General features: G+C 41.4%; 1 protein-coding gene across 4 annotated transcripts in view, besides 1 other annotated feature; it reads right to left on the bottom strand.

Moving 5' to 3' along the window:
• CCAR1 (cell division cycle and apoptosis regulator 1) overlaps window positions 1-23,194 on the bottom strand; it is a 71,139-nt gene that overhangs the window by 43,921 nt on the left and 4,024 nt on the right. For 2 of the 4 annotated variants that reach the window (NR_104262.2, NM_018237.4), the window contains exons 3-8: window positions 11,409-11,581; window positions 10,568-10,612; window positions 7,796-7,828; window positions 5,888-6,081; window positions 1,182-1,296; window positions 891-1,083 (exon numbers count right to left, since the gene is read on the bottom strand). Coding sequence is in view for 3 of the 4 variants with exons in the window: in NM_018237.4 (NP_060707.2) it covers window positions 891-1,083; window positions 1,182-1,296; window positions 5,888-6,081; window positions 7,796-7,828; window positions 10,568-10,612; window positions 11,409-11,581 (753 nt within the window). In the remaining variant the exon portion in view is untranslated. The remainder of the gene's footprint in view (window positions 1-890; window positions 1,084-1,181; window positions 1,297-5,887; window positions 6,082-7,795; window positions 7,829-10,567; window positions 10,613-11,408; window positions 11,582-23,194) is intronic. The other 2 variants (NM_001282959.2, NM_001282960.2) reach the window with 1 other exon arrangement.
• Window positions 6,220-6,389: an enhancer, noted in NCBI's record as "experimental_16857 CRE fragment used in MPRA reporter constructs". NCBI's record gives its function as "activates a minimal promoter by MPRAs in K562 erythroleukemia cells, with activity observed for both the introgressed and non-introgressed 10:70501910 variant alleles {active_cell/tissue: K562}" and the evidence as "EXISTENCE:reporter gene assay evidence [ECO:0000049][PMID:34662402]".

Below are 23,194 nucleotides of genomic sequence, written 5' to 3'. Positions count from 1 at the left end.
TAATTAAGTAGGCTTCTGTAAGCTAAGGCTACCTGTCATCTTTTTCTCTTTTTTTTGAGACAGAGTTTTGCTCTTATCGCCCAGACTGAAGTGCGATGGCGTGATCTGGGCTAACTGCAACCTCCGCCTCCTGGGTTCAAGCGATTCTCCTGTCTCAGCCTCCAGAGTAGCTGAGGTTACAGGCGCCTGCCACCACGACCCAGTTTTTTTTGTATTTTTCCAAAAGTGCTGGGATTACGGTGTGAGCCACCATGCCTGGCCCTATGCATCATTTTAAACAGTGTTTTTATAAGAACACGTCTGGACCGGGTGCAGCGGCTCAAGCCTGTAATCCCAGTACTTTGGGAGGCCGAAGTGGGCGGATAACTTGAAGTCAGGAGTTCGAGACCAGCCTGGCCAACGTGGTGAAACCCTGTATCTACTAAAAATACAAAAATTTGCCGGGCATGGTGGCACATGACTGTAGTCCCAGCTACTTGGGAGGCTGAGGCAGGAGAAGAGCTTGAACTGGGGAGGCTGAGGTTGCAGTGAGCCCAGATTGCACCACTGCACTCCAGCCTGGGCGACAGAGCGAAAAAGAACACATCTGGAGTTTCAAACAATCAATTTGCAAAAAAACTTAAAACCCAGCAAATTCATTTGATGTGGTATGGTTTAATAAGTAATTTAATAGTTTTGATATTTAAGTCCACAAAGGTGTATCTTTTAATTTCTTATCACTAAGAGAAAAAAAAATACTTCCACATAGCTATGGAAGTAGATGTGTCCTATTCAGGATTTTTAGGCTTCAAGTTTTCTTGAAATCCCTGCCTTTTTTTGTAATTAAAAGCATAGTTACATTATCAACAACTAAAAAGTTATACATTTGCCTGAAACAAAAGCAAAGATACCTTTTTGCTGAGGCTGCTGTAATAAGGGCTGTGGTTGAGTCTGCAATAGTGGTGTAATAGAAGCTGCTGAAATCTGTGCCTGCAGCAGTGACTGGGGCTGGGGCTGAGTCTGAACACCAAATGTTGTCTGTGGTGCAATTGGCTGAAGTACAGCAGGAGGAGTCTTCAGTAATGGCTGGGTTTGCGACTGATTCTTCAATTAAAAAATGAAAGAATAAGAAAAAAAATCTTTGTGAATTAGAAGACTCATTTACCAAGCTTCTATAATACCTAACTCAATACTTTCTGTACCTGATTTGGTAGTGTTTGAATTCTCTGTGCATTCCATTTAAAAGGCATATTAGGATTATAAGTAGCTTCAACCAATACTCTGTCACCTACTTGGGGGGTTTTCCCTTTGACAGCACTGTAAAAAAAAAAAGAAAAAAAAAGTTAAATATAAATACAATTAAAATAGATTTCTCCCCAAAATGATTTACATAGTTAGTACTTTAAAGTAAACCATATCTCAAAAAAAAATAAACAGTAAACTATATCAGAAATGGAAGCCTGGAAAGCTCTTTAAAAAGTAGATGGGTGTGCAGCACACCAGCATAGCACATGTATACATATGTAACTAACCTGCACATTGTGCACATGTACCCTAAAACTTAAAGTATAATAATAATAATAATAAAAAAAGTAGATGGGGCTGGGTGTGGTGGTTCATGCCTGTAATCCTAGCACTTTGGGAGGCCGAGACAGGCGAATCACTTGAGGTCAGGAGTTCAAGACCAGCCTGGTCAACATGGTGAAACCCTGTCTCTAGTAATAATACAAAAATTAGCCGAGCGTGGTGGCGCACACCTGTAATCCCAAATACTCAGGAGGCTGAGGCAGGAGAATTGCTTGAACCCAGGTGGTGGAGGTTCCAGTGAGCTGAGATGGTGCCCTGGCCTGAGTGACAGACGAGACTCGGTCTCAAACAAAAATAAATAAATAAAATAAAATAACAATAAAAAGTAGTTGGGTGATGGCAGCAGTAGCTCACGCCTGTAATCTCAGCACTTTGGGTGACTAAGGTGGGCAGATCACTTAAGGAGTTCAACACCAGCCTGGCTAACATGGTCAGGAGTTCAAGACCAGCCTGACCAATGCGGTGAAACCCCATCTCTACTAAAAATACAAAAATTAGCCGGGTGCGAATCGCCTGTACCCGAGAGGCGGAGGTTGCAGTGAGCCAAGATCGCACCACCGCACTCCAGCCTGGGCGATAGAGTGAGACTCCATCTCAAAAAAAGTAATAATAAAAAAAGAGGCTGGGCGCGGTGGCTCACGCCTGTAATCCCAACCCTTTGGGAGGCCGAGGTGGGTGGATCATGAGGTCAGGAGTTCAAGACCAGTCTGGTCAAGATGGCGAAACCCCATCCCTACTGAAAATACAAAAATTAGCCAGGCGTGGTGGCAGGAGCCTGTGATCCCAGCTACTTGAGAGGCTGAGGCAGGAGAATCACTTGAACCCGGGAGGCAGAGGTTGTGATGAGCCAATATTGCACCACTGCACTCCAGCCTGGGCGACAGAGCGAGACTCCATCTCAAAATAAATAAATAAATAAAAAATTTAAAAATAAAAAAATAAGAAAAAGTAGATGGCCAGGTACAGTGGTTCATGCCTCTAACGCCATAACTTTAAAAATCAAACGATCACTTGCAGTCAGTTCAAGACCAGCTTGGGCAACATTGTGAGATCACATTTCTACAAAAAATTTAAAAATTAGTCTTTATGTCTAGATCTGAAGAAACTGGAAAAAAAAAAATAGTTGCCGGGCGTTGTTGTGGCTCACGCCTGTAATCCCAGCACTTTGGGAGGCTGAGGCAGGTGGATCACCTGAGGTCAGAGGTTCAAGACCAGACTGGTCAACATGGTGAAACCCCGTCTCTACTAAACATACAAAAATTAGCCAGGCGTGGTGGTAGGCACCTGTAATCCCAGCTACTCAGGAGGCTGAGGCAGGAGAATTGTTTGAACCCGGGAGGCAGAGGCTGCAGTGAGCCGAGATCATGCCATTGCACTCCAACCTGGGCAACAAGAGCGAAACTCGGTCTCCAAAAAAAAAAAAAAGCTGGACGTGGTAGCATGGGCCTAGAGTCCCAGCTACTTCAGAGGCTGAAGCAGGAAGATCCCTTGAACCTGGGAATTTGAGGCTGCAGTGAGCTATGACTGCACTTCTGGACCCCAGCCTGGGCAAAAGAGACCCCATCTCAAAAAATAAAACAAAAAGGGCCGGGCGTGGCGGCTCATGCCTGTAATCCCAGGACTTTGGGAGGCTGAGATGGGTGGATCACGAGGTCAGCAGTTCGAGACCAGCCTGACCAACACGGTGAAACCCTGTCTCTACTAAAAACACAAAAAAATTAGCCGGGTGTGGTGGCAGGCGCCTGTAATCCCAGCTACTTGGGAGACTGAGGCAGGAGAATCACTTGAAACCAGAAGGCGGAGGTTACAGTGAGCCAAGATTGCACCACTGCACTCTTGCCTGGGCAACAAGAGAGAAACTCTGTCTCAAAAAAAATTAATTAATTAATTAATTTAATTAAATAGCCAGAAGTGGTGGTACACGCCTGATGGCCCAGCTACACGAGGTAGCTGGGTCCAGGTGTTCAACTTTGCAGTTCACTATGATCGCAACACTGCACTCCAGCCTGGGTGATAAAGCAAGACCCTGTCTCAAAGAAAAAGAAAAAAAAAAAAAAGAGTTAAGTAGATATACCTCCTAGACTCATTTTAAAATGGGTGTTTCACCCTTATAAACATGAGTTTAAAGTGAAATTAATAATTTACCACCCCATATTTCCCTGATATTATCTCTCCTGATCCATTTTTTACTTTTATAACCCAAGACTAAGATTTGCTTTGGGCTTTCAAATGATGAATGCAAAAAAGATAAAAAACAGGAATCTCTTTTACAGAAAAATGTTGTACAGTATTTCCTACAAACACTACAAAGCTATAAAAGTACTAATTTAAATATGGAAAAGGAACTTTTAAAAATTATTATTTTGAATGTCAGTCCATCAATCACTTGATCCTATTGACTTTTTCAATGTTAATATTTTTGCGTCTTAGAGATGGGGTCTTGCCATTATGTTGCCCAGGCTGGTCTGGAACTCCTAGCCTCAAGCCATCCACCTACTTTGGACTCCCAAGAAACTGAGATTACAAGGACAAGCCACTGCGCTTAGCTAAAAAACAATTTTAAAATCTATGCTACGTCATTAGACACGTCAAACAAAGATTAGATTTCAAAATTAGATTTCAACACCCCACTCACAGTTATGTTTACCCAGAAATATTGTTAGAACCGCCTTTCTTCAGGAAAAAATACAAAATTATAGCTAAACTGGCTAGGCGCAGTGGTTCACGCCTATAATCCCAGCACTTTGCAGGGCTGAGGTGTGCAGATCACCTGAGGTCAGGAGTTCGAGACCAGCCTGGCCAACATGGTGAAACCCTGTCTCTACTAAAAAATACAAAAACTGGCCAGGTATAGTGGCTTACGCCTGTAATCCCAGCACTTTAGGAGGCCGAGGCAGGTGGATGACGAGGTCAGGAGTTTAAAACCAGCCTAGCCAAGATGGTAAAACCCCATCTCTACTAAAAATACAAAAAATTACCCAGGCGTGGTGGCAGGCACCTATAATCCTAGCTACTTAGGAGCCTGAGGCAGGGAACTACTTGAACTTGGGAGGCGGAGGCTGCAGTGAACTGAGATCGCACCACTGCACTCCAGCCTGGGTGACAGAGCGAGACTCTGTCTCAAAGTAAATAAATAAATAAATAAATAAATAAATAAACAAACAAATAAATAATACAAAAATTAGCCGGGTGTGGTGGCACACGTCTGTTGTCCCTGCTACTTGGGAGGCTGAGGCAAGAGAATCACTTAAACCCGGGAGGTGGAGGTTGCAGTGAGGTGAGATCACGCCACTGCACTCTAGCCTGGGTGACAGAATGAGACTGTCTGAAAAAAGAAAAAAGAAAAGAAAGTAGGAAAGAAAAAGAAACAAAATTCCACACTTGAGTTTCTTCAGAAAAAAATAAAAATACAATATTACAGCTAAGGCCAGACACAGTGGCTCACACCTGTAATCCCAGCACTTCCTGGGAGGCCGAGGCAGGTGGATCGTGAGGTCGGGAGTTCGAGACCAGCCTGGCCAATATAGTGAAAGGCCGTCTCTACTAAAAATACAAAAATTAGCCAGGCATGGTGGCTGAGGCATGAGAATTGCTTGAACCTGGGAGGTGGAGGTTGCCGTGAGCTGAGATCGAACCACTGCACTCCAGCCTGAGTTACAGAGTGAGGCGCTGTCTCAAAAAAAAAAAAAAGAAAAAGAAAAAGAAAGAAAGAAGAGTAAGGGAATGATTATCCTATCAAGACCAGCCTGCCCAACATGGTGACACTCTGTCTCATACTAAAAATACAAAAATGAGCCAGGCGTGCTGGCGCATGCCTGTTGTCCCAGCTACTCGGGAGGCTGAGGCAGGAGAATCACTTGAACCCAGGAGGCGGAGGTTGTGATGAGCCAAGATCACGCCACTGCACTCCAGCCTTGGCAACCGAGTGAGGCTCTGTCTCAAATAAAAAAGGAAAGAAAATCATAGCTACACTGGCCAGGCGCAGTGTCTCACGCCTGTAATCCCAGCACCTTGGGAAGCTGAGGCGGGTGGCTCACTTGAGGTCAGGAGTTTAAAGACCAATCTGGCCGACATGGTGAAATCCCATTCTCTAATAAAGATACAAAAATTAGCCGAGTGTGGTGGTGCACGCCTGTCATCCCAGCTACTCCGAAGGCTGAGGCAAGAGAATTGCTTGAACCCAGGAGGCAGAGGCTGCAGTGAGTCGACTTGAGATTGCACAACTGTGTCCAGCCTGGGCTACATACAATTTCTGCCACAACTAAACAGGTGTTTTGTGGTAAATGCAAGAAGCCATGTGACAAGACCTCATTAAGTTTACCTAAGCTGAAAGAATACATCTTCATCCACAAATCCAAACGTATCATGTAGTTTTGTAACCACCCCTGTGAAAACACGCTGCTTCTGAGGCTGGGTTTGCTGTTGACTGGACCTTGGTGTTGGATATGATACAGTTATTTGTGCTGTTGGCTGAGGAGTAGACAGGCTAAGGCTTGTAGGCAGTGCAACAGCTGGCTATAAAACAAAATCAACATCAAATTAAGGTAATGATTTGAAATCATCTAAAAACTGAATATGACTACTTAAAACTAACCCAGAATGTTAAAAATTTCATATTATGTTAGAAGATATACATGTACATCTTGAGAGTCAGGTCTAAAATTAAACTATAAATTATTTTTAGCCTATTTCATCAAGATCCCTTAGATGAGTGTTCTTACTAATACAATATCCATACTGGCATAATAAAGGCTTAGGAAAGTCCTAAGTATAGTAAAGGAACTCAGCATTCCTCAAACTTTGACCACAAAACTATTTTCTCATGAAATTTCTTTAATATCTTAAGATACTAGTAATGTGTTATGGGTACACTTAGGGAAATAGCATTTGAACAAAAGAACTTCTATTGTTTTTCTACTTAATTTGGAAATTCTACTTTGTTGATTATTGAAAATAGGAGTTATGAGTTACGTGTTAACCAACTGTAGTTCTTTAATAAAAACAGGTTGATTTCTCAATTCAAGTATATTTTTAAAAGACAAGGAAGAGATTCAAGACTAAAAATACAGTACAAAATGTTATACTGTGAAAAGCCTCTCTCCTATCCCTGCTCCTCAGCTATGCAGTTCCCTAAACATGAAGCAATCACTGTCCTAATTATTAGTGTAAAGCCTCCTAGAGATGTTTTATTCAAATATGCATATAGATAAATGGGAGCATATAATACATACTAGACTGTACCTTTACTTCTACCTCAGATTATCTGGAATATCATTCCATATCAGTATACAAAGAGGTTGTGCTTTAACAGCTGCATAGTATTTCACTCTACGTATTAACCAGTGATCAGCAAACTATGACCCATGGGCCAAAGACAGCCTATAGGCTCTTTTTACGTAGTTTATAAGCTAAGAACACTTTTTACACTTTCAAAAGGTTGTAAAAATAGAAAAAGAGTATGTGAAAGATACAATAAATAGTCTGTAAAGCCTAAGGTAGCACTACATATGAAAAGTTCAAAACTTTTTAATGTTGCTGAAAAATTAAGCAGATAATGTCACACAATAACTTTCCCTGCTAAAGTGGAAAAAACGTGCAGAAATCTTCCAAAAGAAAAAGACTACAAAAATCAGTATCAATGAAAAATCAGTATTAAGTTTAAAATAAAACCTCAGCCGGGCATGGTGGCTCGCACCTGTAATCCCAGCACTTTGGGAGGCCAAGGCAGGTAGATCACCTAAGGTCTGGACCTTAGGCGAGACCAGCTTGGCTAGCATGGTGAAACCCTATCTCTACTAAAAATACAAAAATCAGCCAGGCGTGGTGGCAGGCGCCTGTAATCCCAGCTACTCAGGAGGCTGAGAGAGGAGAATCGCTTGAACCCAGGAGGCAGAGATTGCAGTGAGCCGAGACTGCGCCATTGCACTCCAGCCTGGGTAACAGAGGGAGATTCTGCCTCAAAATAAATAAATAAATAAATAAATAAATAAATAAATAAATAAATAAAATAAAACCTCATATTTATTCAAACTGTATCACAGCTGAACCTACAAGGAGAAACCATCAAAAATAAACTAGCATACTACTACCTTTATTTAGCATTATATTCCTAAATTATTAGGTGAATCTAACAAGTAACTAAACCCTGAAAGAAAAAGTAGAATACTAATAAAGCTTTAGTCTACTGTTCATTCAGACATCCAAAACAAATAAAGTAATACCAACTAACCTGTGTTAAGAGGGTTTGCTGGGGTTGCTGTAACTGAAAACAGAAAAATAAACACACACAGAAAAGGGTCAATCAGAATTGTTGCTTCATAGATGCTTCATAAAAGAAATAATCCTATAAAAGTTATTCTACTTATTTTTATTTATGTATTTAAACAGAAACGAGGTCTCACTATGTTGCCCAGGGTAGTCTTGAACTCCTGAGCTCAAGCAATCCTCTTGCCTTGGCCTCCCAAAGTGACAGTATTGCAGACATGAGCCACTGCACCCAGCCCAGTTATCTTAAGAAAAATGTGAAAAGTAACAGAGATAACTAGGTATAAAGTTTCCTACAACTGTTTCTAAAAACTGCAGACCTCATATGTAAGTAACTCATTCAATGATAGGCACTTAACTACTTTTATTAATAAAAATACAGAACCTGATTTTTTTGTTATTGTTATTATTTCCCAGGAATAGCATCCACAGTAAAACCCCACAAATCTCTAAAAGCGAAGATTACCATGCTACAGAAATGACTCAATATCATCAATATGCTACTTGTATCAAAAAATATCACTGGTCATCAATCCAATTCATAGATATATCCCTAAATAAAATGAGAAGCACTGTTGATGGACAATTTACCATAGGCACAGAGACCATGAAGGACCACATACTCTGATGTATGGTTTTTCTGTAATAGCAAAGTGTACTATTACCAGAAAGTAAAAGGAATTAGTATGAAAGGAGAAATTTTAAAATTCTGAAATACAAATTTGACTTAGGCTAAGGTAAAATAATCTGTATGAGGTTGTAATTCAAAACACTCAGTTTACCTGGAGTCACCATGTATTAGAGATTAGATCATATCAAAATACTATTTTTTTGTAAGTTAAGAACAGTTGAGTAGTGCCATTTTTTAAAGGCAGAATGAGTATTGCAATTTTTGCAAGGTTCAGCCTCACCCATTATCATCTTTAAAAATGTATTTCATAAGAGCACTAAAATAAGTTGGAAGGTACTCTGAAAACAAGACATCTGATTTGAGACCAGTCTCTTGTCAGTTTTTAAGAAGTTTAAAGCAATTACTAGTGAAATACTGAGGTCTTCTGGGAAAATGCAATGCTTCTGAAGCCTCAAGGGGCTTAAGTCGAGGATTAAACTGGGCCATGGATCTAGGGACAAAGAAGTTATGAATTGAGAAGCCTCTGCAGCCATAAAAAAAAGAATGAGGCTGGGCGCAGTGCCTCACGCCTGTAATCCCAGCACTTTGGGAGGCCAAGGTGGGTGGATCACAAAGTCAGGAGTTCGAGACCAGCTTGGCCAACATGGTGAAACCCTGTCTCTACTAAAAATAGAAAAAATTAGGCGGGCCTAGTGGCATGCACCTGTAATCCTAGCTACTCAGGAGGCTGAGGCAGAAGAATTGCTTGAATCTGGGAGGCAGAGGTTGCAGCGAGCCAAGATCGCACCATTGCACTCTAGCCTGGGCAACAAAAATGAAACTCAGTCTCAAAAAAGAATGAGACCAGATCCTTTCCAGGGACATGCTTAGACTAAAGCATATCTGTATTTCAGCAAGGCAAACTCTCTTTCCTTGACAGTTCCTAGAGAATGTGTCTAAGGAAAAGGGTCCAATGAAACTTGCTTTTAGTCTAAATCAGGAGTTTCCATATTGTTTAAACATGCCTAGGGAATAGAAGTGTGAACTACAAAGTGTGACTTTCTCCCACATTTTATTTATTTTAATTTTTTACAGCTGTGCACCACCAGGCCCAGCTAATTTTTCTATTTTTAGTAGAGAGAGGGTTTTACCATATTGGCCAAGTTGGTATCAAACTCCTGACCTCAAGTGATCCGCCCGCCTTGGCCTCCCAAAGTGCTTGGATTACAGGCGTGAACCACTGTGCCTCACCAACTTTCTCCCATTTTGAACAGTTCTATTTTAATATTTTGATTTCCATACACAATTTGATTAGTAAGAAGGGGACTAGGAGTCCTACTCCTTGAAAGAAATAAAGGCTGTAGTAGGTGTTAGTTAATGTAACAAAAATTTTTAAAAATAAAAAATAAAGAAAAAAAAATAAAAGCTGAAAGCCTATAAGGTTTAGGCTTCAATCAGCAAAAGGAGCTTTCATTTTCACATGTGGTCTAGTTCAGCAGACCTGGCCCAAACGTTCCAGACAGGAGCATAACAGTCCAAAGGGTGGTTCTTTCTAGATTATTCTCTGCATACTTTTTTATTTTTTTTTGAGACAGAGTTTCGCTCTTGTTGCCCAGGCTGGAGTACAGTGGTGTGATCTCGGCTCACCATAACCTCCGCCTCCTGAGTTCAAGCGATTCTCCTGCCTCAGCCTCCCTGTCTCAGCCTCCCACGTAGCTGGGATTACAGGCCTGCGCCACCACACCCGGCTAATTTTGTATTTTTAGTAGAGATGGGGTTTCTCCATGTTGGTCAGGCTGGTCTCAAACTCCCGACCTCAAGTGATCCGCCCGCCTCGGCTTCCCAGTATGCTGGGATTACAGGCATGAGCCACTGCGCCCAGCCTCCTCATACTTTCTTAGAAACATGCGACAAAGACTGGCTAAGGATCTGGGTTGTTAGGACCACCCTCCTATCTCCCTCACCCTTGGAGACGTTCCTTTTTTCCTACCTATTTACTCTAGCCCCTCCCAAAAAATTTGTATCACATGTTAAGGTAGCTGATAGAAATAAAACTCTCTATCAATTGAACTTTGGAGCAAATGGCTATTTTAAAATCAGTTTTTAACACGGAAAATATAAACTAACCTGTTGTTGCACACTATACAGGGCCTGCTGAGGTTGTGAATATTGCTGAAAGATTAAAAAAAAATTTTTCAAAGAAAAATACAGACACTAAATTTATTCATTCTCAAAAAGTGATATACATAGAAATACATACAATTACACTAAACATAAACTTTCTGTTCTGGTGTGGCATTGATTCAAAGAAAAAAACAAAAAAAATAAAAATAATAATAATAAAGATAAATTTTCTGGAACAGTGAAACTTCATCTAAAGTAAATCAAGTTGTGATTACTTATACTCCGGGATCCAAAAAGAAGTAAATTTTATTCATGTAATTAAGGTATAAGAACTGCCCAATTTAAGGACTTAAAAATTTTGACTATTCAACTACTTTTTTTTTTTTTTTTTTTTGGACACAGGGTTTTGCTCTGCCTCCCAGAGTGCAGTGGTGTAATCTCAGTTCACTGCAGCCTCAACCTCCCAATGCTCAAGCAATCCTCCCATCTCAACCTCCCAAGCAGCTGGGACCACATGCATCCTTCACTATGCTGGCTAATTCTCGTGTTTTCTGCAGACGCTGTCTCACCACGTTGCACAGGCTGGTCTCAAATTCCCGGGCTCAGACGATCCTCCCACCTCAGCCTCCTAAAATGCTGGCATTACAGGCATGAGCCACCATGCCTGGCCCAACTATTCTTCCCTATATATGCTGGTCAGATATAATATTCATCACCAGAAAAAGAAATCAGCATAATAAAAACACATAATTCTTCACTACCTGTAAAATGAAGGTAGCAATGCTAGCTACTCAGATTTCATAAAGTTTTCTACATCAAATAATAAGACATATTAAAGATTTACCTGTTGTAATGCAGCTGCTGCAGCTGCGGCTTGTTGCTGCAATGCAGCAGTTTGTGTTAACTGATAGTTTGCTGGAGTTTGTGTGGTAAGGCCTGCTGCTGCCAATGCAGTTTGCTGTGTATAAATGGTAGGAGATGCTCCAAGGAGTGATGGCTGTTGAACACCCAGTGCAGCTAAAATGAAATCAAAAAGGAAAAAATAAAAATCAAGATTAAGAAGAATATAAAAAATATGAAAACAGTACATAGAAGAGATACCCGCACCCCCATGTTCACTCCAGCACTATTCACAATAGTCAAGATATGGAATCAACCTAAGTGTCCATCAATGAACAACTGGATAAAGAAAATGTGGTATATATGCACAAGGGAATACTATTCAGCCTTAAGAAGAATATCCGGTAATTTGCACCACGTATGAACCTTGAAGGACATTATGTTAAGTGAAATAAGCCAGGCACAGAAAAAAGAGTATTGCATGATCTCAAATTTGGAGTATAAGAAAGTCAAACTAAGAGAAACAGAGTAAAATGGTGGCTACAAGAGGCTGTGGGGCCCAGGGCAGGATTGGGCAGACATTGGTCAAAGGTTTCAGTTAGGAGGAATGTTCAAGATACCCATTGTACATCACGTTGACTACAGTTAATAACAATACATTATATATGTAAACATTGAGAAGAGAGCAGACTTTTAAGTCTTCTCACCACAAAAGATAAGTAGGTGAAGTAATGCACGTTAAATAGCTTGATTTAGCCATTCCATGACATATATATACATCAAGACTTTATATATATTATCTATAAAACTTTGGTATTAAGTAATTGTGTATGTATACCATAAATACATAGGATTTTTACATGTCAAGAAAAATTTCTAATTTTGAAAAAGACTAAAACTGGCTGGGGGTGGTGGCTTATGCTTGCAATCCCAGAACTCTGGGAAACCGAGGCGGGAGGATCACCTGAGGTCAAGAGTTCGAGACCAGGCTGGCCAACATAGTGAAACCCCATCTCTACTAAAAATACAAAAATTAACTGGGCATGGTGACACACGCCTGTAGTACCAGCAACTCAGGAGGCTGAGGCAGGAGAATCATTTAAACCTGGGAGCCGGAGGTTGCAGTGAGCTGAGATCACCACTGCACTCCAGCCTCGGCAACAGAGTGAGACTCCATCTCAAAAAATAAAAAAAGGAAAATGGACAAAAACAACACTTAAGCACAAAAAGCCTGGTCCAAAGGTAATGAGTTATCTAAAGCGGTTATTCAGTTACTGACTGAACTCCTTGTTCTACTCTTCCCCTTCTGATTACAATGCTTGTCTAGTCTTTGAAGAAAAAAATGTAGGCTGGACGAGGCAGCTCATGTCTGTAATTCCAACCCTTTGGGAGGCTGAAGTAGGAGGATCACTTGGGCCCAGGAGTTTGAGACCAACCTGGGCAACAAAGTGAGATCTCATCTCTACAAAGATTTAAAAAAATGAGCCACACATGGAGGCAGGTACCTGTAGTCCCACCTACTCAGGGGGCTGAGATAGGAGGATCATTCTACTCAGGATGCTGAGATGAGAGGATTACTTGAGCCCAGACATTCCAGGCTGCAGTGAGCCATAATCCTATGAGGGATTTTCACAGAGTAAAACTCTACCTCTCAATATTGGAAAAAAAAAAAAAAAAAAAAGCACAAAAACGGTTTGTGTTTTTGAGACAGAGTCTCACTTTGTCACTAAGGCTGAAGTGCAGTTGTGCAATCACAGCTTATGGACGCCTCGACCTCCCCAGGTTCAAGTGATCCTCCCACCTCAGCCTTCCGAGTAGGTGGGACTACAGGCGCAAGCCACCACATCCTGCTAATTTTTAAATTTTTGGTAGAAAAGGGATCACCTTATGTTTCCCAGGCTGGTCTCGAACTCCTAGGCTCAAGCAATCCACCTGCTTCGGGATCCCAAAGTACTGGGATTACAGGTGTGAGCCACCACAACTGGCCACAAAGAGGTTTTAGTTAGTGTACACTACTGTACTGAGAAATTAAAAAACAATTCACCATGTAGTGACTTAAAATGATAATTTGCTAAGACCAAAAAATTGGGGAGAGGGGCTCAAAATGATAGACTTTGGTACTTAAATGTTTAATGTATGCTCAGAGATAGCTACACACTGAGGAGAATATGATAAAGGTTTTACTTGATCCTTTTACCCAATTCCATTAAATGCAGAAACTTTAGGTAAAAATTATGGTCTAGCACTGCACTTCCCAAAAATGCATCTCCTAGAAAAATGACCACTAGCTCCCTGGGGCAATAAATTTTGAAAAAAATGGGATCTAAGGCTAAGTTCAGGAAACTGAATTAAACGCAGGAATTAAATGCATTTACGCTTTACGTAACTGCGTTAAGTAATTCAGTTGAATTAAACTGAATTATACCTCAGGAGGCTGAGGCACGAGAATCACTTCAACCCGGGGGCGGGCAGAGGTTGCAGTGAGCCAAGACTGTACCACTGCACTCTAGCCTGGGTGACACAGTCAGACTCTGTGTCCAAAAAAAGAAAAAAGAAAAAAAAAAGGAAATGGAATCTCATTAATGTTGCCCAGGCTGGTCTTGAACTCCTGGGTTCAAGCAATCCTCCTTCCTTAGGCTCCCAAAGTGTTAGGATTACAGGCATCAGCCCAATTTTCTCAATGGTATCTAGGGGGACAAAACCAAGAGGCCGTAAAAACCAGTATTTGCTCATGGAACACTCCCTTCCCCAAACTATCTTGCTTTTATCTGGGAACAATCTGAAAAAAAATGCTGCCTTATAACTATTAGTTATTAACTCTATAGAAAGAACAATTTGTGCTTTATAAAAACAGAATAAAGAGCTTTAATGAACCGACCAAAGGCAGGTACCCTACTCTTGAACATCACAAAAATTCATTCAAAGTTTGAGGTTTACCATCAACTATTTAAAAAGTCTAATTTCATTTAAAATAAAAAAAAATAACAAAATAAGAAAGAAACAAAATCCCAGAAATCATGTTTAGAATTTTTAAAAATTCAAAATTATCCTCTGCAAAAACAATAATTTTAAAAAATGTTTTTTAAAAAACCTCAGCATGGTAGCTCACGCCTGTAATCCCAGCACTTTGGGAGGCTGAGCAGGGTAGATCACCTGAGGTCAGGAGTTTGAGACCAGCATGGCCAACATGGTGAAACCTTGTCTCTACCAAAAATATAAAAATTAGCCAGGTGTGGTGGCGTGAGCCTGTCATCCCAGCTATTCGGGAGGCTGAGGCAGGAGAATCACTTGAACCCGGGAGGTATAGTAAGCCAAGGTCGCGCCACTGCACTCCAGCCTGAGTGACAAAGCAGGACTTGATCTCAACAAAAATAAAAAATAAATAAAATAAATTTTAAAAATTCTTATTATAATAGAGATGGGGTCTTGCTATATTGCCCAGGCTGGTCTCAAGTGTCCTGGACTCAAGTGATCCTTTTGCCTGTGCCTCCCAAAGTGCTGGGATTTCAGGCCAAAACCAGATTTTTAAAATTTAAAGAAAGAGAAGAATCTACAGTGAAAAGAAAACTTTACAAATGTCCTAAATACACAGTGCTAATCATTACAACACCAAGTTTTTCATTTTCTCTTTTTACTTTTTTTGAGACAGGGTCTCACTCTGTCACACAGGCTCAAGTGCAGCGGCAGAATCTTGGCTCACTGCAACCTCAACCTCCCGAACTCAGGTGATCCTCCTCCCTCAGCCTCCAGAGTAGCTAGGACTACAGGCACATTCCACCATGCCTGACTAATTTTTGATAGTTTCTGTAAAGACAGGGTCCCACTATGTTGCCCAGGCTGGTGTCGAATTCCTGGGCTCAAGCAATCCATCCACCTCGGCCTCCCAAAGTGCTGGGATTATAGGTATGAGCCACTGTGCCTGGCCTATTTTCTCTTTTAACTATTTTTAAGATAAGTCAGATGTCATAGGTAGGGAGAAAGGATAAAACAAGGACCAACAAAGTGAATTTAAATAGACGTGGGGAATATCTTAACACCAGTATTAATTCAAAATGAGGTTAACCGCAATGAGAATACAGAAAAAATAGTGCATCAAAATGTAGGGCACAGGTTCTATTATTATTTTTTCAGAGATGCAGTCACACTGTTACCCAGGCTGGAATGCGGTGGTGCAATCTTAGCTCACTGCAGCCTTGAACTCCTGGTTCAAGCAATCCTCTCGCCTCAGCATCCCCGGCAACTGGGACTACAGTCGCATGCCACCATGCCTGGATAGGGCATAGGTTCTAAAAGGTGGGATAATTTCCTGAAACCGTATGCAAAATGGAAGATAAATCCATAGCTGTCATCCGATTTTCAAAAGGATTATATATAGGCCCTAGAAAGGTTAAGAACAACTGTTCTGGCCAGGCATGGTGGCTCACACCTGTAATCCCAGCACTCTGGGAGGTTGAGGCGGGCAGATCACCTGAGGACAGGAGTTTGAGACTAGCCTGGCCAACACGGTGAAACCCCATCTCTATTAAAACACAAAAGTTAGCTGGGCATGGTGGTGCACACCTGTAGTACCAGCTACTCAGGAGGCTGAGGCAGGAGAACAGCCTGAACTAGGGAGGCAGAGGTTGCGGTGAGCTGAGATGGCGCCACTGCACTACAGCCTGGGTGACAGAGCAAGACTCTGTCTCAAACAAACAAACAAACAAACAAACAAACAAAACTGTTCTGGTAATAGAAAAAAAATTATCATGTAAATAGGAACAAGACGCTATGAAAAAGTATTAGTACTTTAAATTCTAATAATCTGAATTGGCATGTTAATAAATTAAGATCGGCATGTTCTGCATTTGACATTTTAAATCAGTGATTCAAGTATAAGTATCATGACATCACTTTCATCCACCTGAACCACGGCCTTAGATTTGCTGTTTCACTCTGCTGGTACCAACTCCCACAACCCTGGGAAGTATTGACAGTTGCCACAGCAGAAGTGCTGAGAGCCAAAATCGCAGAATGTCCATTTTTTCTTATAATTTTTCTGGGTGTCCTGTATTCTGGCAGCATACAACAGTCCAGCACCAAGTAGGTAAGATGACATCCAATACCCACACTTCTCTTTTCTACACCTGACAGTCCATGTGATGAGTTAGAAACAAGACAATTTCAGCTAGGTACTGCGGCTCATGCCTGTAATCCCAGCACTTTGGGAGGCCAAGGTGGGTGAATTGCTTGAGGTCAGGAGTTTGAGACCAGCCTGGCAAACATGGCGAAACCCCATCTCTACTCAAAATACAAAAATTAGCCAGGTGTGATGGCCCATGCCTGTAATCCCAGCTTCTTCTGAGGCTGAGGCACTTGTTTGAACCCAGGAGGTAGAGGTTGCAGTGAGCCGAGATTGTGTCACTGCACTCCAGCCTGGGTGACAGAGCAAGATTCTACCAAAAAAAAAAAAAAAAAAAAAAAACAGAAACAAGACAATTTAATAGGTAATGAAGATTTTGACTGCTAGGAAAAATTGATAGGAAGATAATTTACATTGCAGTAGAGTAGTTGCTTCACACTACCAGGTACTTATTCAAATTTTGTGGAATCACTGTGAATGTGATTATATCTTTTATAAATATATAACAGTTCTTTTCTAAATCACTTATACTTGAGACTTTAATTTCAATGAAGTGTATTTCATTAAATATTTATTAATGCTCCCCTTTGTGGACATTTGAGAAGCTATCCTTGAATATTTTTATATGTGCATTCTGCACTCAATGTGAATTATTAGAATCAACATTCTGCAAGTAATTCTGTAATCTGCAAAGTACAAAGGTATTAATCTCTGATTTAATCTCCCTCACACACATAAATAGCTAAACACGTGTCATTTGAAGATCTTTTCCAATTATACATATTGAAGCACTTTATCCTTCACTTTTACCTCATTCAATATGATTGTCAAAGGTCCCATACCACAATCACAATAGATACTTATCACTATGTATTTATATCACAAATAACTAAATGAAATGAAACCAAAATGACCACAGGCTATCTACTAAATAAAATTTAGGCCAGGCACAGTGGCTCATATTTGTAATCCCAGCAATTTGGGAGGCCACGGTGAGCTGACTGCTTGAGCCCAGCAATTTGAGGGCAGCCTGGGCAACAAGACAAAACCCTGCTTCTATGAAAAATATAAAAAATTTGGTAGTACATGGTGACGCACACCTGTAGTCCCAGCTACCCAGGAGGCTGAAGTGGGTGGATCACCTGAGCCCAGGATATCAAGGCTACAGCGAGCGTGACTGCACCACTGTACTCCGGCCTGTGTGACAAAGTGAGGCCCTGTCTCAAAAAATTAAATTAAAAAAATTAAGGGCTAAGTTTTCTGAAACCACCTTTAAGGATAAAAATATGTTCTTTTTTGGCTGGGTGCGGTGGCTCACGCCTGTAATCCCAGCACTTTGGGAGACTGAGGCGGGCAGATCACAAGGTGAAGAGATCGAAACCATCCTGGCCAAAATGGTGAAACCCTGTCTCTACTAAAAATACAAAAATTAGTGGGGCATGGTGGCACGCGCCTGTAGTCCCAGCTACTCAGCAGGCTGAGGCAGGAGAATCACTTGAACCCAAGAGGTGGAGGTTACAGTGAGCCGAGACCCTGCCATTGCACTCCAGCCTGGGCAACAGAGCTAGACTCCATCTCAAAAAATAAATATATATATATATATATATTCTTTTTTAAAAACTACAATCAGTTTCATATGACTAAAACAGTCATGTTATAATATACTATTAACATAATTTATTGACCACAAGCTATCATTAAAACACAAAAGAGGGGCTGGGCGCAGCAGCTCACGCCTGTAATCCCAGCACTTAGGGAAGACGACACGGGTGGATCAGGGGGTTAGGAGTTTGAGACCAGCCTGACCAACATGGCAAAACCCCATCTCTACTAAAAATACAAAAATTAGCTGGGTGTGGTGGCACGTGTGCCTATAATCCCAGCTACTCAGGAGGCTGAGGCAGAAGAATCGCTTGAACACGGGAGGCGGAGGTTACAGTGAGCTGAGATTGTACCACTGCACTCCAGCCTGGGCAACAAGAGCGAAACTCCATCTCAATAAAAAAAAAAAGTGAGTCATCTTTCTGAAATAATGAATAAAATTCAAAACCTGGCAGAACATGTTGGTGCACACAGGAGCCTAAGGCAGGAGGACTGCTTCCATCCAAGAGTTCAAATCCAGCCTAGGCAACATAGCAAGACCCCACTATAAAAAAGAAATTTTTAAAGACTTTAAAATTCAAAATTTCAAACTGACCCAAGAAATGTTTTTGTATTTTTTTTTTTTTTTTAAGACGGAGTTTTGCTCAATCCTCCTGACTCAGCCTCCTGAGGGACTACTGGCATGTGCCACCACATTGGTCTCAAACTCCTGGAATCAAGCGACCCTCTCAAAGCGCTAGGATTACAAGAGTAAGTCACCAAGAGCCGGGCGCGGTGGCTCACACCTGTAATCCCAGCACTTTGGGAGGCCGAGGCGGGTGGATCACAAGGTCAGGAGATCAAGACCATCCTGGCTAACACAGTGAAACCCTGACTCTACTAAAAATACAAAAAATTAGCCGGGCGTGGTGGCAGGCGCCTGTAGTCCCAGCTACTCGGGAGGCTGAGGCAGGAGAATGGCATGAACCCAGGAGGCGGAGCTTGCAGTGAGCCGAGATAGCGCCACTGCACTCCAGCATGGGCGACAGAGCAAGACTCTGTCTCAAAAAAAAAAAAACCAAAAAAACCCAAAAAAACAAAAAAGAGTAAGTCACCACGCCTGGCTACAAAATAATACTTTAAATATAACCTATTACAAGTGTTATGATCTTATATAACTGTATTGTCCAATTCACTACCCACCAAATACATGTGGTTATTTCATTTAAATTAATAACAATTAACATAAAATTACAAATTCAGTTCCTCAGTCACACTAAGTATATTTCAGGGGCTTAATAGTCACACATAGTGGGTATCATATTATACAAAGCAGATGTAGCACATGCTTATTACCATAGAAAGTTCTACTTATTGGACAGGGCTTTTTTTTTTTTTTCTGGGACGGAGTCCAGCTCTATCGCCCAGGTTGGAGTGCAATGGCACGATCTCGGCTCACTGCAACCTGTCTCTGGGTTCAAGTGATTCTCCTGCCTCAGCCTCCCAAGTAGCTGAGATTACAGACGCCCACCACCACACCCAGCTTATTTTTGTATTTTTAGTAGAGGCAGGGTTTCACCAGGTTAGGTGGGTGGGTCTCAAACTCCTGACCTCAGGTGATCCACCTGTCTGGTCTCTCAAAGTGCTGGGATTACAGGCGAGAGCCACTCGCGCCCAGCCTGGACAGTGCTATTCTATAAGGAAAAGGAAAAGCCTTATTGTTATATGAGGTTCTTATACTCTCTATAATGTCCTAACAGATGACAGCTCTTCCGCTCTCAGACAGAAGTCCTTTGGAAGTGAGGACTAGTGCTCCTGGCAATAGCCTCTTCTTACTACAATTCAAATAACTGTTGGCCAATCCCCTTAGGCAGTTGAAGACACCATTCATAGGCTGAGTGATCCCTTGAAGGCAGAAATTTGAGACCAGCCTAGGCAACAAAGTGAGACCCTGTCTCAAAAAACAAACAAACAAAAACAACGGAAAAAAAAACCTCCAGGATTATTTTTGGATGTCTTTTTCCCTTAGCTAAAAAGATTAAAAAAAAAAAATCAAAAAATGAAATGGATGTTTAAAAAAATATATGAAATGGGTGACAATAGGTCTGAATCTGGTAAATCCACCTCCATATTTTAATAGTTTAAATACAGATACACATGTAAATATTTTTCATCAAATATACTGAAGGTACCTCTATAATCAATAATTGATCTAAGGCCGGGCACAGTGGCTCACACCTGTAATCCCAGCATTTTGGGAGGCCAAGGCGGATGGATTACCTGAGGTCAGAAGTTCAAGAGCAGCCTGGACAACATGGTGAAACCGTGTCTCTACTAAATATACAAAAATTAGCCGGGTATGGTAGCAAGCCTATAGCCCCAGATATTCAGGAGGCTGAGGCAGGAGAATTGCTTGAACCCTGGAGGCAGAAGTTACAGTGAGCTGAGATCATGCCACTGAACTCCAGCCTAGGCAGAGTGAGACAGACTCCAGCCTGAGCAGACAGAGCGAGACTCCATGTTCAAAAAAATAAAATAAGATAATTGATATAAGGGCTACTTAAAGATTTGATTGACTGGTCACTGACTGGTGAGTCATTGGCCATTTCTCTCAACGTCTCTTTACACAACAGAAATTTTCAAAACTAAAAGCTCTGGTCCCTAGAATGGCTGTCACTGAAGACGTATCAAAGCACTTCAGGTAGGATATGGAAAAATACGGTAAATATTAAGAATATATTTCAAGGGGTGAGAAAAATGAAAAACAGGGCCACAAAAATAAGACCTTGAATACCATCCTAGAATCTGAACTGTATTCTAAAACTCTTTGAAGATACTTTTGCAGACGAATGAGAAAATGAAGAAATAGAAGATAAAATGAACCACAATTCTGAGGTCCTAACACTGACTCTGCTATGACCTCCTGTGAGACGTAAACAAATTTTTTTCACCGTCCTTGGCCTCAATTTCCTCATCTCTTAGAGAATTAAGTTGGGATAGAATCTAGCTTAGCTTTGGGAGGCCACGATGGGCGGATTGTCTGAGCTCAGGAATTCAAGACCAGCCTGGGCAAGATGGCAAAACCCCATGTTTACTAAAAATAAAACCCACAAAATTAGCCGGGAGTGGTGGCACGCGCCTGTAGTCCCAGCTACAGTCCCAAAGGCTGAGGCACAAGAATCACTTGAACCCGGGAGGCAGAGATTGCAGTGAGCCCAGATCGTGCCACTGCACTCCAGCCTGGGTGACAGAGCAAGACTCTGTCAAAAAAAAAAAAACAAAAAAAAAAATCTAGTTTAGGCCTGATCCAGCTTTGAAAAAAATTCTGTGAATTTATTTTTTTATTTTTATTTTTTTTTGAGAGGAAGTCTTGCTCATCACCCAGGCTGGAGTGCAGTGGCACGATCTGGGCTCACTGCAACCTCTGCCTCCAGGTTCAAGTGATTCTCCTGCCTCAGCCTCCCGAATAGCTGGGATTACAGATGCACACCACTATGTCCGGCTAATTTTTGTATTTTTAGTAGAGACGGGGTTTCACCATGTTGGCCAAGCTGGTCTCGGACTCCTGACCTCGTGATCTGCCTGCCTTGGCCTCCCAAAGTGCTGGGATTACAGGCATGAGTCACCACGCCCAGCCAAAATTCTGTGATTTTGACAGAAACTATGTTTTAGGAATATCAGATCTGATGGATGCACTGGAGCTGGAGGAAAAATAAGGATTATCACACATAGTAACTAAGAGAGAAAAACAAATAAAAGTAAGCAGTTAGAATTTAAAATAATAATACTAAAGATAGAGTATCACCACCAAGCCAGAGATGGGAGGAGAAAAGCTTCCTTAGGGAAGTAAGGATCTATGGTAAGCACTGTGGATTAGGATACAAAGGTTTAAGCATGTCAAGAGCCAGGCGCAGTGGCTCACGCCTGTAATCCCAGCACTTTGGGAGGCCGAGGTGGGCGGATCACAAGGTCAGGAGATCAAGACCATCTTGGCTAACAGGGTGAAACCCAGTCTCTACTAATAATATAAAAAATCAGCCGGGCTTGCTGCCACACGCCTATAGTCCCAGCTACTTGGGAGGCTGAGGCACGAGAATCGCTTGAACCCAGGAGGTGGAGCTTGCAGTGAGCCAAGATCATGCCACTGCACTCCAGCCTGGGCAACAGAGCGAGACTCAATCTCAAAAAAAAAAAATTAAAACCCTGAAGTACCCATTTCTTTTTTTTTTTTTTTTTTTTAGGACAGGGTCTCACTCTGTCACCCAGGCTGGAATATGGCGGAACTATCACAGCTCACTGTAGCCTAGACCTCCCAAGGTTTAAGCGATCTTCACGCCTCAGCCTCCCCAATAGCTGGGACTACAGGCGTGCTCTACCACACCTGGCTAATTTTTGAGTTTCTGCAGATGGGGTTTCGTTATATTGCCCAGGCTGGTCTTGGACTCCTGGATGCAACTGATCCTCCTGCCTCAGCCTCCCAAAGTGCTGGGATTACATACATGAGCCACTGTGCCAGGTCTCCACGTCTTTAAAGAGAAAGGTCACCAAGATAACTAATCATTTCCATCAAATTTTGGAACACTGAAGTTAGAAGATCACAGTGTCTCCGAAATTGACCTCGAATTAAAAAAGATATTTTAAGCAAGTAAAATGCAGCAAAGAGTAAGAGATATAAAATAAATAAAAATATATTCAAATTAAAAGACAATCAAAATCTCATTCTGTAGAATTCTTGGGAAACTTATTTGAAATCCCTAAACACAACTGGTTTCATTCAAGTAAAAAATTCTGAATCTACAGGAGTTAAAGCTTTTGAGATTCAACAAATAAGTCAAAAAATGACCAAAAAAAAAAATTCTTCCTAAAAAGATTGGGAAGAATTTAAAGCTTCAATAACATTTTCTATTTACTTTGAAAATGACGTTTTGTTGACTTTATTTTTATTTATTTTTTTTGAGCTGGAGTCTCACTCTGCTGCTCAGGCTGGAGTACAGTGGTGCCATCTCGGCTCACTGCAACCTCTGCCACGCCCGTCTAATTTTTGTATTTTTAGTAGAGAGGAGGTTTCACTGTGTTGGTCAAGCTGGTCT

The sequence above is a fragment of the Homo sapiens genome, chromosome 10 (genome assembly GCF_000001405.40).
Source record: "Homo sapiens chromosome 10, GRCh38.p14 Primary Assembly".
NCBI lineage: Eukaryota > Metazoa > Chordata > Mammalia > Primates > Hominidae > Homo > Homo sapiens.
The sequence above is the reverse complement of the archived record's forward strand: the minus strand, read 5'-3'. Positions and strand labels throughout refer to the sequence as shown.